A 16,889-nucleotide genomic window follows, 5' to 3' on the forward strand; every position below is an offset into this window, starting at 1 on the left:
TAAACTTTCTATAGATAATGCACCCCCTTACTGCTTGCACCTGGGAAGACTGCTCGCCCCACCCCTTTGCTCTCTTACTGTACCCCTGAATGAAGGACTCCAGGAAGTACACACGTGGTCACTTGCTATTTCCCCCAACATGGGAGACATAGTCCTGCCTCAGGGCCTTTGCCCTGGCTGTGCCCTAGGCCTGGAGCTCTTTCCTCATCTCGATGCTCAGCTCACTCCTTGATTTCCTTCAGGTCTATACTTGAGCATCACTTCCCAGACAACTTTACAAAAAGGATCCTCTCCCAAAGATCCACTTTACTGTGTTTTTCTTTTCCTTACAGACCTGATCACCACTGATGGAGTGTGTATTGTTCCTTGCCAGTCTTTCTCAACACAGCCTACTTTGCAGTTTTGTTCATTACTGTGTCTCCAGTGTCTGTCCCTTGAAAGAAGCTCAAGACATTTTGAATGGATAAATGAACAGAAGAGAATACCTGTGTGTGAATCTTGTTCCTGCCCTGTGCCAGCTGTGTGACCTTAGGTGAATTATTGCCCCCTCTGAGCTTCAGTTTCTTTATTTCAAAACCACCAAGTGGCTGAGAAAATAAACCCAGGCAAGAGAAGAAAACACCTGCCCTGCCAGGGGAGCTGATGAATATCTCCTTCTTCCTTCTTTCTTTCTCCCATTAAATTTGACAGCCTCTGCTTTACTGCAGGGAGAGAGCCAGGAGCCTGTTTAGGCGGTAGTAGGACTCCTTTCCATTCACTGCACTCCCAGCCTGATCTCAGAGGCTCATGTAGTCAGCAGAGCAAGAGAAATGGGCTGGGAAACAGGCTGGATTTATTTCCTTCCTTTCCAGCAAAGTACTCTAAGGATGTGCCCATCCATAACCTCGTTGCTCACATGAAGACCGAGTGACGACTCAGATGGATGGAGATGTATGAACCTCTCTGCACATGTGAAAATCCAACCCTAAGCCATGCAGGGGAAATGGGCACCAAACTCAAGGGCAGGCACATTCCAGAGCATGGGGTCTGCGGGGGATGGCCTCGCCCAACCCAGGCATGGCTCACACACCATTTATTTCTTTACTGAGCTGGAAACTCAAATCCAAAGTTTTCCCGATGGCCCCGGAGGAATAAAAGAATTGGGGAGAGGGAAAAGGTGGAGAAGAAGGTGAAAGAAATGAAGGAAAAGAAGGAAGTGAAGAAGAAAAATAAGAGGGAAGAAAAAAATGAGAAAGAAAGACACATTTTAAACTAGAATAAAGTATATACCCTTTCTTAATTGACTGACCATGAACCAAATCAGAGCTTTCAAAGAGAATCTGACCAAATTGTTATTTCAGTTTACTTTAGAGTGTGATTTGATGTAAAGAAGTCAGTCTGTCTTGCCCCACTAAGCCTTGTTTAAATGAACTGCAATGTTCTGTAAGTTTCTTCTGGAACCTTAGCCCACCCATATGCTACAAATATGTGTTACTAGGGTGATCAGCCATCCCAGTTTTCCTGACACTGAAAGGAGTCCGTGGATGCAGGACTTTGGTGCTAAAACTGAGAAAGTTCTGGGTACACGAGGACAAACTTGTCACCCTAATGACAATGTCATGGCTTGAACTATGGCCCCTAGAAAGATGTATCTCAGTCCACATCCCTGGAAGGTGTGAAGGTCACCCTATTTGAAAGAAGATCTTTGCAGATGTGTTTAAGTTAAGGATTTTGAGATGAGATTATCCTGGGTTACTCAGGTAGGTCCTAAATTCAATGGCAAGTGACTATATAAGGAAGAAGAGAAGACACACACAGACAGAAGGGAAGGCCACATGAAGAGGGATGCAGAGATTGGAATGATTTGGCCATAGCCAAGAGATGCCTGAAGCCACCAGAAGCTGGAAAAAAATAGAGAAGGATTCTCCTCTAGAGCCTTCCGACAGACCATAACCCGGCTAACATCTTGATTTGGGACTTATGGCCTCCAGAACTGTGAGCACATAAGTGTATGTTGTTTTAAGCCACCAACTTTGTGGTGATTTGTTGGAACAGCCCTAGGAAAGCGATACAGGCAGTAAAGAAATAAAAGGCAAGGTGGACATATCTGGAACTCTCAGGATGCTTTCTGATTTGCTCTATCTCTAGCAAAGTTTCTAGAATACATTTCTGGAGAAGTAGAAGTAGCATGCATAATTTTCTAAAATTCTAAACACCACTCCCAAAACTTTCATATTTACTTAACTCCTGTAGGCAACGTGGCATGTGGTCCTAGCATCCCAGTTCCCTGGGAGATGGCCCTCCTGGCCAGGGTGGTGCCTTTCTTTAGCTCCCAGGTCCTGCCCCCTGGATAAAGGCTGTCTGCATGTCATGGTCCTAGAGCTGGGGGCAGGGAGGGCATTTGCAAGGAGGGAGGCCTGTTAGAACTGTGAGCACATCTCAGCACACAGATGGGCATCTCTATTAGTCCATTCTTGCACTGCTATAAAGAAATACCAGAGCCTGGGTAATTTATAAGGAAAAGAGGTTTAATTGGCTCATGGTTCTGCAGCTGAACAGGAAGCATGGCTGGGAGGCCTCAGGAAACTTACAATCATGGGGGAAGGTGAAGGGGAAGCAGACACATATTACTTGGCTGGAGGAGAAGGAAGAGTGTGTGGGAAGGTGCTACACACTTTTAAACAACCAGATCTCATGAGAACTCTTTCACGAGAACAGCACTAGGGGGTTGATGTAAACCATTAGAATCCACCCCTATGATCCAATCACCTCCCACTAGATCCCACCTCCAGCACTGGGGATTTCATTTCAACATGAGATTTGGGTGGGGACACAGATCAGGGTATATCAGTATCACATCTGATGTTGGATGAGCATCGCATAGTATATCAGCGTCACATCTCTGCTTGACACCCAGCGGGCACTGTGTTTTCTTAGATTCTGTGTTTGTCTTTTGGCATCCATTAATCACAGGGCCAAACTAATGCCCAAAGTTGTTTATGTCTCCCCTGCAATCAGCTTTGGAGGGTGTTTGAAAATCATATTACAAACTCTCCAACCAAGCCAGAGCACAACCCCCCAACTTCTTCCTTATCTAACTCCCACACACCAAGCCAGTATTTCGCCTGCCTCACATCACCCGGGACCAGGGACAAGACAACTAAGACCTCTCCTGTAGCCCAGAGCCTGCAACATTATTCACATCAGCCAATCTCAAGCTGTTTCCCCTGCCCTACCCTGCCCTACCCTGCTTTCCCCTTGAGAAACACAATAAAGGTTCCTGCCCAGACTTTTCTGTGGCTCCTTCCACTGACTCCTAGGTGGGCTGGTGTGCCCCTTTCTCTTGGGAAACGCAAGTAAAATATTCTTTTGATGGCACCTGCTTCTCCCTGCTGTCACTCAGTCACTTCCATAAATTGAAATCCATTGGATACAACTGGGACAGTTGGCATCACAGGTGACTCAACATTTGATAGAGCTGCATGCCCCTGGGCTGCTCTTGGCTTACTAACTGGCTTCGCCAACAATGAGCACCCCTGGCTGTGGACATACCTGCACTTTAGCGCCTCCACTCTATGCTATGTCTACCATGTGCTGCCATGATGTTCCACCCTAAATTGTAAGAGGACCTCAAAGGCACATGCCTCCATGGTACACCTCACTTTGTATAGTTTAGTTTTTAGGAAGGCTAAAACCATCATCTTGGATATGCAACAAGATCCACTGGGTCTGTTTGATACCCAGGCACCCAGGAAGGAGGGAGTGCATTGATTGACCAGCATACAAGGCTCCTCTCAAGGGAACAGGGAGAGGATTCTTCCAGAAGGACTGTATTGAATCTGATCCACATGCCCATCAATGCCAAAGTCAGTGTAAGGCTCATTCAGCCTGACTTGAGTTCTTTTCTCTGGGTAAGTGAATTATTGCACTAACCTGCCCTTTGAGAGAGCATTCCTGGCAAAATTCTAGGTGCAGTATCCTCTGGTAAACCATAGGGATGCAACACCAAGTACTCCTCTCATGGAAGCCATTGGCATCCAAAAATTTTCAAGGACAAATCTCTGTTGTTGCTTGCCTTGCTGCTGTTGCAATTCGTCTCCTAACTTAGCAGGATATAAAAGATCCCATCCATGGAGACAAGTGGCTAAATATTTAATGGAAAAAGGAAAGAAGGAGCATGTTGTTCCACTCCCCTTAAGACATCTGAGGACGTTCCTCAGCTCATGCAAGATTGTAAATCTCCTGACCAATGTGTCCGGGCACTCCTGAGTGCTGCTACCTAATCAACATGCGAACAGCCTCCTTCTTAAGAGTAAATTGTCACAAAATCAGGATGTGACATCATTGTTCTCTTGAATGTGGACCCCAGACCTTCTGAGGTTGATTGGGACACCCTAGAGAGGGAGGCTGCTGCTCACAGCAGAGGTCACTCAGGACTACCAGGAACTTATCAGGTAAACACCCAAAGGAAAAAAAATGTCTGGGGAAAGACAGGAGACATAAAAGGGGGGAAAAGTGGGAGAGGGAAGGATTTTAACCACTTAGAGATACAAGCCATTCTAAAAAGATTTAAGAGAAAAAAAAAAAAGCCAGGGGTAGAAAAGAGACTGATTAGGGTGGGTACATAATCAGTTGCAGGGGAGTGGCTGCTGCTAGAGGTCCTGTGTCACTTCCCTCACCCCCTTTTCTCTTATCAGCCAGAGACAAAAATAAAAAATAAAAAAAAATTAAAAAGCAGTTTCAGGTGGTCAAAAGCCTAAAACAAAACAAAAATAACAAATAAACAAGGATAACCCTTAGATACAGAGGGAGGAAAAAATGTCAGATTTCTTTTTTCTTTTTTTTTTTTTTTGAGATGGAGCCATACTCTGTTGCCCATGCTGGAGTGCAGTGGCGCAATCTTGGCTCACTGCAATCTCCGCCTCCTAGATTCAAGCAATTCTCCTGCCTCGGCTTCCCAAGTAGCTGGGATTACAGGTGTGCATCACCACACCTGGTTAATTTTTGTATTTTTCGTAAGAGATGGGGTTTCACCATGTTGGCCAGGCCGGTGTCGAGCTCCCAATCTCAGGTGATCCACCTGCCTCAGCCTCCCAAAGTGCTGGGCTTACAGGCATGAGCCACTGCATCCCACAAAATGTCAGATTTCTATCCCTGTCTGATCCTCTCCCACCTCTGCTTGCTGCTTCTCTAGTGTGGATAAATAGGAGATGCAGTGCTGCATCTACATACCACAGCTTCCAGCTCTGCAGGGAGATACTGTTCATTCAGGGACAGTGTATTAACTACCCTACCAGGACACTGACTGTGAAGTCACTGTAAATGGTTACTGTTGTGTAAATGTGAGAAGAAGCTGGGCATTAATGTGCTGGGTGACTCTGAACCAGGCCCCCACCTTTCTGAACCTGTTTCCCAGATCTGAGTCTTGGCTTGGCTTGGTCTAGATACAAATTCACATGTTGTTGTTGTTATTTCTATTTTCCTTTATTTTATCATATTCATTTATTTAACACAGCACTCTCTCTTCAAATAAAACTTTAGCAAGGGCCCAGGTATAAAGCAACTGAAGCAGAACCTCTCTGAGTGGGCCCTCATTCTTCTGTCCCCGTTGCTGGACACTGCTTAGGACCCCTGAGACAGAGATTTATAACAGAAAACCACCCTCAAGAGGGTGTGTCTCCTTGCTTTGCAGTTCAGAATCACAGTCATATTGGGTCACTATTTCTGAGTGTATATTTTTAAAGATCAGATCACAGCTGAGTGATCTGAAGGGTAATCACTCCCTGGCTTAAACCTTTCACCTATGTTCCTTTGCTTATTTTGTTAACTTCAGACCCTTCCTCCCATGAGGCCCTGTACCTCTATAGGAGCACTCAGGCACACCAGAAGACCCCTCTCCTCCTCTTCTGTGTCCTAGCCTGGTTGCCTCCTTTCTCTTCCTTGACTGAACCAGATACTTCCCTGCTTCAAGGTCTTTTCCCTGATTATACCCACTTCCTGAAACGCTCTCTTGGAGCAAATTCTTTGGCTGTCTCTTTCTACAGTGTCAGCTTAAATGTCCCCTCCTCAGAGAAGCCTTCCTTGACCCCCAGTTTGAAGTGGCCACTCCTATTCCCACTTCAGCTCACCTTTTGTCTCATTTCAATAACAGCATATGTTGAACCTATGCATTTGTTTGTTTATTTATCTATTTACTGGTCTGTTTATGGTCTCCTCTACCAAAATGGTCATACCATGAAGGCAGGAACCATGAATGGCTGCCTCATTAAATTCCATATCCCCAGCACCTACAACAATGCCTAACATCTGAGGGCTCAAAAACTGTGTTGAATAACTAAGAGAATTAATTAATTAATAAATGAATGAATGCACTCTGGGTTTGAGAAGAGGATTTTTTTTTTTAACTACTGCCCTTGGTATCTGTGAAGCACAATTTGAAAGCTCAGTAATTTGTCAGTTGTCACAAACCCAACTCAGTGGTAGTAATTCTTACATTCATGTATATTAACAATAAGTACTTATTCCTACATTCAGGTCCATAGGTCAAGCACGACTTGGCGGATCCAGGCTGGGCTCTGCTGGGCATGGCTGCAGGCTGTGGGTTGGGATCAGGTCTGCTCCATATGTGTTTATCTTGGGCATAGTCTAAAGGGAGAGCAGCTCCTCTCTGGACACACTCCTCATGGTGGATCCCTGGGGACAAGAGCAAGCAAGCTTCATGAGCACATTTAATGACTTTAGTCTCGTCACTTCCTCTGACACTCTGACCATCCTTGGTCAAAGCAAGTCACACAGCCAAACCCACATCAATGGACCAGGAAGGCCCATTATCTGCTGAACAATAACTCAAACTATCACTAAACTTATGACCACGAACAGTGATTCAAGAAACCAAAGTTTAATGCAGGATTGTTTGTGATCTAAGAGGCTGTCTGAACAGGGATGGCTGAGATTATTAGAGAGAGAAAGAGAGAGAGAGAGAGAAATTCTTGTATCTGAATTACTCTGAAGGAAAGGCTCTGCTGCTGGCAGTTAATGCAAACACACCCACAGCCACTGCCAGAAGCCTCCAGTCTCAATGTGATGACATAGTGAGCAAAGGAGCCTGGGGGTTTCTAGCCCAATTCAGTGCTGGGAAGCAAGAGCTCACTCACTCTCCCATCCCCCTTTCCCACTACCCACCCCTCCCCTCCTGCCAGCAAATGGAGGCAGCACATTTTCACTCCAATTTCCACTTAAAGCTGCAGCTGCTGTCGCCGCCTGGGAACCCCTATCTTTTTACATGTTATTGTGGATCAGTTGCCCGCTGCTGCAATAAAGAACTCTCAGTGGGTTGCCTGGAATTTCTAACTCAGTGCCACAGAAAACCTGGTGGATAAGGAAACAAGAGGCTGCGCTTCAGTGGTGGTAAGTGCTAGACTTAAGCAGGCAACCCTGGGTCCTAGCCTCTTCTGGTCAGTCCTCTCCCAGACATCAGCTCCAGGAGGGAATCTGCTTCCTCAGCCATGAGGGCAATGAGGACCCTCACCATAGCTATCTATATGGGATCCTCCAGCATCCTTTAGCCTCGATGGCAAAACACTCACTGGCTGTTTTCAGTAAGTTTTAGATTCCCAATATTGTTCTTGCAATCGTGGGGTGGAGGACAGAAGGGTGGATGGTCAGGTATTAGATCGATCAAATCAAATTGCAGTACTCAGACCCTGGGGGTACACAATGACTTTCTAAGGGTTCACAGGCAACAGGCCATTTTGAGAGAATCACTTTTCAGATTCTCAACTGACATGGGTACTCTGTGGGCTCTTCATTTCCACATCCTCTTTTGGTAACACTCTTCTCCCACTTTATAAAACAAAGATTGATCAGTCAATGTTCTGGCAGGAGACAGATAGCGTACTTACATTGGCTAATTGGAGGAAAGTTTCATAAAGGTATTATTTAAAACTTGTGATCCGGATGAAGGGAAATAGCAAACAATAGTGCCAGGCCCTGGCTAGTAACAGTGGGGCCCTGGGGAGGGTGAGGGGAAAGAGCCTTCTGGAATCTGCAGACAAAAGGAGACTCTAGGCGGGGGCTGTCAGACAGGAGCTGTGACCTTCTGCAGTGGAGGCAGGCAGCCTGGGCTCCCCCACAGTAGGGATAAAGAACCCCTACCTCACTCATCTCTCAGTCTACCATCTCTGCCTGTTCTCGCTATCCCATGGCAAAACCCAACTGTTACAGGAAAGGGGTCCCGGTCCAGACCCCAAGAGAGGGTTCTTGGATCTTGCACAAGAAAGAATTCAGGGTGAGTCCATACAGTGAAGTGAAAGCAAGTTTATTAGGAAAGTAAAGGAATAAAAGAACGGCTACTTCATAGAGCAAACCTGAGGGTGGCTGGCTGCCCATTTTTAGGGTTATTTCTTGGTGATATGCTAAACAAGGGGTGGATTATTCATGCCTCCCCTTTTTAGACCATACAGGGTAACCTCCTGACATTGCCATGGCATTTGTAAACCATCCTTGTGCTGATGGGAGTGTAGCAGTGAGGATGACCAGAGGTCACTCTCATGGCCATCTTGGTTTTGGTGGGTTTTGGCAGCCTTCTTTACTGCAACCTGTTTTATCAGCAAGGTCTTTATAGACTTGTAGATACAGGCCAACTTCCTCTCTCATCTTGTGACTTAGAATGCCTAATTGTCTGGGAATGCAGCCCAGTAGGTCTTAGCCTTATTTTACCCAGCCCCTACTCAAGATGGAGTTGCTCTGGTTCACACGCCTCTGACACAACCACAAGCCAGAAAGCAAGGGAGCTCATTTTGATGGAAGGCATTCAAACAATTGCATAACATGTAACAGAAGCTCTTTAATCTCCATCTGTTTATTTACGTGAACAAGATTCACCCTGCTTACAGCAACAAAATCAAAATTTTTTCAAAAGGGGGATAATGTTGAGGCCGAAACCTGTCTCCTTATGATAGTAAGCAACAGTCATCCACGAATACATGAATTAATTGAGAAAACAGCCCCACGGCTGTTATGTTTCTCTGATCAATGGTGCACTACTCACTATCGTTAATGATAACTAAATTCAGAATCACATGTTTAACATTTAAAGCTTTACAGGAACAGAACTCTGGATATTATCCGTTTTTAATTTATACATGTTTTTGTTGCAGTATGATCAATACAAGACTTCCAAGCATAAAAGTAAGATACACTCCCATCAAAGTTGGCTAGAGGAGTAGAAGTTCTAGGAGAAAAAGGCAAAATTTCCAACAATTAGAGCTGAGTTTTCATGCATTTTTAAAATCAATCGTGGTGGGTATCAATCATTATGGTATTGAGTTTCCACTAGACACACGTTAAAATTGATGTAATAGTCTTCTTTTAGAATATAAATATTCAGTATTTCTGATACAATGATTTAAACTTATGATTAAAAAATAAGGTGTTAAAAATGTGAGAAGGTACATGGATTTTTAAATGGAGGAGAAAATGGAAGGGATGAGTGTGGAAAACCTAGTAGGGGCAGATATTTACATGGGCTTCACTTGCTGTTCATGTGGCTGGGACGTCAAGGGATGAAATAAGATAAGATTCTAGAAGGTGTCCTCGACAGCCCTCATCGAGTGCCTGATGACAAGGTAGTAATGTGCCGTTCGAAGAGAAAATTGCTGGGTGGTCAGAATAGGCCTCCTAGAGCCAACTGGAGATCCAGGGCTGGGCAGGCACAGAGGTGGATTTGAATATGTCGGGAGGAAGCTGCCTGGACCTTTAGAAAGAGGAAATTCACAAAGCCCTAAGAGGCTCTCATTTTCAACAACAACAACAACAACAAAAACAATAATAACATTGTTGTGATTCAATACTTATTGAATACTATTACTTTCCAGGGACTGGGATAAGCAGTATATATTGATGTCTACATTGGTATCTCACTCAACCTAATCCTTAAAGAGAGAATCTCTATCATGATGGTTATCATCACCAACTTATAGATGAGGAAACTGGTTGCCTTGCCCAGATCACTCACCAGCTGCTGAATGGTAGAGCTAGAATTTCAACAGTAATCCTCAGTCCTCCAATTCCAGCACCATCCTTTAGTCACCGCACCGTATTACTTGCCTCTCTTTTGTTTGGTTGGTTGATCACTTATATAGTCATCCAATCTTTCTTTTGTGGCCACAGGTGTGTGAACCAGAGCGACTCCATCTTGAATAGCAACTCCATCTTGAATAGGGGCTGGGTAAAATGAGGCTGAGACCTGCTGGGCTGTATTCCCAGGAGGCCAGGCATTCTTAGTCACAGGATGTTTACTGTTAAGGGAACAGAAACAGACCCAGAACTTAACAGATGCAGGAAATGTTTTGACATCCTGATATCTTAAGAACAAAAGCAGTCCTACTTTAAGAATAAGTCTTGCTTTAAAAATAGTAATATAGACTCTTGGGAAGGACAGTAGTTACACAACGATTAGCAATCCTTTATCACAAACCCCTGTAGTGGAGCATATCTTCCCCATGATGTTTGTTATCTTATATCTAATCAAGCCTTGCACCTAAGGTGGGGGCATTCCACCTCTTTCAGGAATGTCCTGCTCTGTCTCTGGTACAGCCACTCTTTCATTCCTTTACTTCCTTAATAAACTTGCTTTCACTCTACTCTGTGGACTCACCCCAAATTCTTTCTTGTGCGAGATCCAAGAACCCTCTCTTGGGGTCTGGATTGGAACCCCTTTCTGATAACAATAAGGCAAATAATCGTTGAGCACAGACTGTGTGCTGGGCACTTTGCAAGATAGCTTTGTCGATACATCTTAATGTTGGAGAGTCCTCATCCGTACTTATTTCCTTGTGGAAGCCTGCTTTAATGCTGTTAAATTCTTTCCTTCTGTCTTGGGAAGGAAGGCAACACGCCTTTCAGAGCCTTGGAAGATGAGCCTTTTTCTCTTTGCTTTTCTTTCCCTCATTCTCCAACTTCAGGGCCCAGCTCCCAAGCCCAGTCTACCCCGGCCAGTCCCTGAGTGTCTGCCCCCACTCAGAACCCTTTTCCACATCACTCAGTCTCCAGCCCATGGAGCTCTGGCCAATCAGCACCCACGTGGAGACGTCTTTCTAATCAGACTTTTCAGTGCAGCTACACATTAACCTCAAGTCTCTCTTCCTCTGCTCAAAGATTCTAGCTCAGTGCTGAGCAAAATGGTCTCTGTGTTCATTGAGATTACATTCTGCTGTGAGTTTCCAAATAGGAAAAAATGACAGTATTATATTAATATCTTAAACAGGATAAAAATATATTTCTATGTTCTATAAATGTGGACAGTCCAGGGCTGGTACAGTGGCTCCTGTGATGTCGAGGATCAGGCCCCTTCTAGCTTGCTCTGCAATGCCCTGCAATGCCCTGCATGAGGCTTCTCACTCATAGTTCAAGGTGTCTGCTCCAGATCTGTCACCCAAGTCCATGGGCCAGCCAGCAGATGGAGGGAGGGGATGCTCTGTCTCTTTAAAATACTTAGAATTTGAACACAGCACCTAGGTTTATATTCCACTAACTAGAAGTTGGTAATCTGGTCACAAATACCTACAAAGTCAGCTAAAATGTGTTCTCAGTGGCTAGATAAAGGTCTAGGATTCTATGACTATAGACAAAAGAGATGAAGAGATAATGGATTTTTTTTTTTTTTTTTGAGACAGGGTCTTACTCTGTCACCCAGGCTGGAGTGCAGTGGTATGAAGATGACTCACTACAGCCTCTACCTTCCAGGCTCAAGCAATCCTCCTGCCTCAGCCTCCTGAATAGCTGGGACTGCAGGTGTGCGCTACCACGTCTGCCTAATTTAATTTTTGGAGAGACAGCATCTCACCATTTGCCCAGGCTGGTCTCGAACTCCTGGGCTCAAGCAACCTTTCCGCCTTGGCCTCCCAAAGGGCTGGGATTACAGGTGTGAGCCACAGTGACCAGCCAAGAGATTTTCAGGGACAATCAGTAGGGTCCACCAGAGCAGCCAATGCATTCTGTTCACTTTACCCTGACATTGTCCTCTACCCCTAGCCCTCTGGTCTCACTTCCCATGGGTTTCAGGGACCAGAGCACAGAGTCTCTCTGTGAGCAGCCCTCCTCCCTATCCCTCAGGAAAATCCTATCTTGGTAGTTACTAATATCAATATCAAGTATTATACAGAGACTTGTTCTCTTCCAACTTGTAACATTTAGAATTGGTGAGAACATGGTCACAGATGGGTTCTTCATTGATTTATAATCAAATTCTCTTATTGTCAAGCAAAAATGACTGTTTTCTGCTCAGTCTGTCAGTTGCTGCAGGGAAGTGATAAGGAAAGGCTCTTCTGTGTCAGTCACCTAAGTGGTGGCTACGCAGTGCCCACCACCTGTTTAGACGAGGAAGAGATGAGCACCTGTCTCAGGGTCCTCTGTCGAGAGGGTCCACTCTAGCTATTTAAGCAGAAAAGGAATTTAGGAAATGGCACTGGGGAGGTCACAGACTCTCCAGAAGAGACAGCAAATCAGGATTCTTGAAGTCTGTGCAGCTGGGAATAATGTCGGAACGACACCATGGAACCCACCCTAGAGACCACAGATGTGTGCTGCCACACTCAACTAACTTTTAAATTATTTAAAATTTTTTGTAGAGATGAGGTCTTGCCATGTTGCCCAGGCTGGTCTCAAACTCCTGGGATCAAGAGATCCCGCCTTGGCCTCCAAAGTGCCAGAATCTCAGTCTCTTCTAACTCTAGAATTCTATGACCTCTAGGACCAGCATGTGGAGACCTGGAAAAGATAGATTTAGAAGCTGGCAAAAGAGCCAACTCTCTGATTTCCTCTTGCGTTCAGATTTCATCCAACCATCCATCCCCCAGGAGACGCTCATCAGTCCTTGAAGAATGCACCTCCTGATTACAATCAGATATTTTCCAAGTGCCAGCTGGAGATTAACTGATGGGAAGTCTCAGGTCATAGAGGATATTGGGCCACATCTGTCACTCCATGGGGAATTGTCATTTCTGCTCAGTACTGAGGAGCTACGACCTGGGGACAGAAAAACCGGAGGAATTGCAAATTTAAAACACACACAGGGAGCCTAACTGGTGGTATCTGAATTAGAGCACATTTTGTCCCTATAGTCCAAGTTGGAGGCACTGATGAGCAGCCCAATTTTGTAAGGGTCTCAAATATTTACTTAAAGAATAGTATAGTATAAATACCTGCATTAAATCCAATTGCTGTCACTATTAAAAATGTCATACGATTGTTTATTTCTACTGCTTGCTCAGAAAGCAACCCATGCTTGACAAAGGCCTGCTATTTATAAGAAGGTGCACAGAAATGAACAGTATTAAATTTGGTGCCTGTTTATTCCTCCAAGCTACCCATACACCCTGCTTTACACTGAAATGCTTTCTCCATGTTTATCCACATTGTTTCTTTCCAAGTAAAACTTATTACACAGATTCCTCGGGGTATTTTTTTTCTTTTCTTGATTCTGGTTAAATAAACTATTGATTTTGTTTTCAAGGTAACTTAAGGGGGAGTAATACAGTTCTAATTTGATAAGTACAATTGTAATGCATTCAAAGTAAACACACTTTAGGGGTTCAACTAGGACTTATTTTAAAAAGAAAGCAAATCAATCAATGATTGGCTACTATGGCGATTTTAGGGTGGGCTGGATGGGGATGAAACTGCATTGGACATTAATACTGCAGAGACAAATTATCAAAAGGAAAATTGACATTAGAGGCCATGGAAAGCTCTTCCAAAGACATGTACCCTTCAAGGATGAATTAACACTGGGTTTCTTCGGGAGCACGGAAGTAAACTGCAATTTTTGAGAAGCTAAAAGAATTTTTTCTAGATGGACCAGGAAAGTCTGCAAGAGTATTTGCAGGGTGGCCAGTCTACTTTTCCACTCTAAGACAATGAACATCAGTCTTCAAAGAGGCACATTCTAGCTACCAGGATACACTTGGTTGTAGGTGGCCAGAAACCCAAGTCCACCTGGCTTCAGATAAGGAAAAGAATCTATGGCCTCCTGCCAAGGAAAAGCCAGTGATAGAGCTGGCCTTGGGCACATCCAATTCCAGAGGGTAAAACCTTGTTATCACATTTCTATCTGTCTCAGAGTGACTTTGCTGGATTGAAATTGCACTGAGACAGATGCCATCCCCTGGTGGCTCAGAAGCCTCAGTTTTACACCTCCCACCCTGTCCCCCAGCAGAGGTCCAGGATGAGGTCTGATTGGCTCTGACTCGGTCACGTGCCATTCCTGAACCAATCATTGTGGGCAGAGTCATGTGAAACCTCATTGGCCAAGCCTGAGTCACATGATCACCCTGGCACAGACCGGAGACCAGCAAAGCTGTGTTTTCTAGAGCAAGCTCAAGAGTGTGGCTTCAGAAGCATGGGGGTGAATGCTGGGTGTGTTAGTCCGTTTTTGCATTGCTGTAAATAAATACCTGAGGCTGGGTAATTTTTAAGGAAAAGAAGCTTAATTCACTCGTGGCGCTGCAGGCCGTACAGAAAGTGTGTTGCCAGCATCTGCCTCTCACGAGGCCTCAGGAAGCTTCCAATCATAGGGGAAGGTGAAAGGGAGCCGGGGCATTACATGGTGAGAGAAGGAGCAAGGTGCGGGGGACGTGCCATATTCTTGTAAACAATCCATTCTCAGAGCAAGAACTCGCTCATTACCAAGGGGATGGCGCTCAGCCCTTGGCAAGATATCCACCCCCATGATCCAGTCACCTCCCACCTGGCCCCACCTCCAACATTGGAGGTCACATTTCAACATGAGATTTGAAGGGGACAAACATCCAAACCATATCACTCCGCAGGTACAAGGCACCTGTCCACTCACGCCCATCCGGGCATGTCATCATCCAGAGTCAACCCGAAGTCCTTGAGCCCTTTGACTCTACTGACCTTTGGGTGCCTGGATCGCAGTAGTCCCGACCTCTGCCCCCACCACCACAAATGCAGGCTGCTCTCAGAGCCTCTGCTACCAGAACTTGGCTTCTGCCCACATCCCTCCCTTTCTCCACACTTCAGCTCCGACACCTGTCCCACGTGCCCTCTACTGACCTCAACTCATTCTGCTTTCCTCTCTCATGTACTAACTGGGGTTCCAGCTGTGTCACCATTCAAGCATCTGAGCTCCCTGACCCATGTGTTGTCTCTGACATCAGCCAGCCGAGGGCCAGCTAGCACGTGGGCGAGAACTGCCTGCCAAGAACAGCCCTGCTCCCTTGACCACATCAGGAAATACCGAACATGAACCCATTGTTTGCTCTGTGAATTGTGCCTCTGGACTCAGGCTAAATGCAGTAAAACTGTATGTCAGTCAGGTTTCGTGGAAACAGAAGGAAAGAGGTACTTTGCATGTATATTTATTGTATTACGTTATACTACAGATGCTCTTCAATTTACAATGAGGTTACATCCTGATTAACCCATCATAAAGTTGAAAATATCATTAAATTAAAAATGTATTTAATACACCTAACCTACCAAACATCGTAGCTTAGCCTAGCCTACCTTACATGTGCTGAGAACACTTACATTTGCCTATAGTTGGGCAAAATCAGCGAACACAAAGCCTATTTTGTTAAAAAGTGTTGAATATTTCATGTAATTTATTGAATTTATTGAAGTGAAAAACGGAATGGTTGTACGGCTACTCAAAATGCAGTTTCTGCTCAATGCATATCACTTTCATACTATCATAAAGTTGAAAAATTGTAAGTCAAACTATCATAAGTTGGAGACCATCTGTACATTGAATATGTGCATATATATGAATATGTATGTGTGTATATATACACATATGCCCTAAAATTATAGAATACAGCAAAGAGTATTCTTTCTACTAGTATTGAAGATTCAGCCACGTATAGATTACAGGACAGAACCACAGTATGAGATCACTCTTAAACATACACAAAGATTTATTTATGGATTTATTTATGGATCACTCTTAAACATACACAAAGATTTATTTATCATCTTCCTCCTTCTCATCATAGCTAATATTATTGAGCACCTTTCTAAGCCCTTTACATTTTTAATGTCATTTACTTCTTTTATCAATCCTCTGAAATAAGTGCCACATTTCTCTTCTTGATTTACACATGAGGAAACTGAGGCACAAAGAAATTCAGTGACTTTCCCAAAATCATGTGGCTGGTAAGCGATGGAGTCAGGTGCATGGTAAGATTGACATTTTTTCACCTTGTGAAGTTGGGGGTGGTCATGTGATCTGTTCTAGCCAATGGAATGTGATGGGAAGTGTGTATGTTGCCTGGGGAAGATGCCATTACCATCCAGTACTGTAAATGTTTTGCATTCTTACCTTGCTGACACATCCTAGATAGCGGAGGAGCTGCCATCACAGGCATATGAGTGAAAGTGTTGTGGAGTAGACATCCCCACTGTCCTGAGATGGATATGGATTTGAACAATAAATAATCCTTGTTTCTTGAAGCTACTGAAATTACGGCTTTTCCCTTTTATGTTACTGCAGAATAACACCAGATTTCAAAGAGGACTTGAGCCTCATGCAAATGTTTTCATTATTTTTAATAAGGGAAATGTATTCATGTGTCATTTGTGTCATTAAAGTGGCACTTCATAAAAAGGAACCTAAGGTGTTATAATGGCAGTAGAATTAATCCTTAGCCTCTGTCCCTAATGTCTTACTCCATTTTATGTTGCTGTAAAGGAATACCTAAGGCTGGGCAATTTATTAACAACAACAACAACAAATAAAACATTTATGTGGCTCCCAATTCTGCTGTCTGGAAAAGTTCAAGACTGGGTATCTAATGAGGGCCTCAGGCAGCTTCCACTCACGGGGGCAAGTGAAGGAGAACTGGCATGTGCAGAGATCCACAGTGGGAGAGGAAGCAAGGCGGAGGGGA

At 44.4% G+C, this 16,889-nt stretch overlaps 1 long non-coding RNA gene across 1 annotated transcript; it reads left to right on the forward strand.

Moving 5' to 3' along the window:
* Positions 1–7,076: 7,076 nt before the first annotated feature.
* On the forward strand, positions 7,077–13,427 carry LOC124904924 (uncharacterized). The gene is made up of 2 exons (XR_007067634.1): positions 7,077–7,386; positions 11,655–13,427. It is a non-coding gene; the product is annotated as an uncharacterized LOC124904924 (long non-coding RNA).
* Positions 13,428–16,889: the final 3,462 nt, after the last annotated feature.

The sequence above is a fragment of the Homo sapiens genome, chromosome 20, assembly GCF_000001405.40.
Source record: "Homo sapiens chromosome 20, GRCh38.p14 Primary Assembly".
In the NCBI taxonomy this organism is placed as follows: domain Eukaryota; kingdom Metazoa; phylum Chordata; class Mammalia; order Primates; family Hominidae; genus Homo; species Homo sapiens.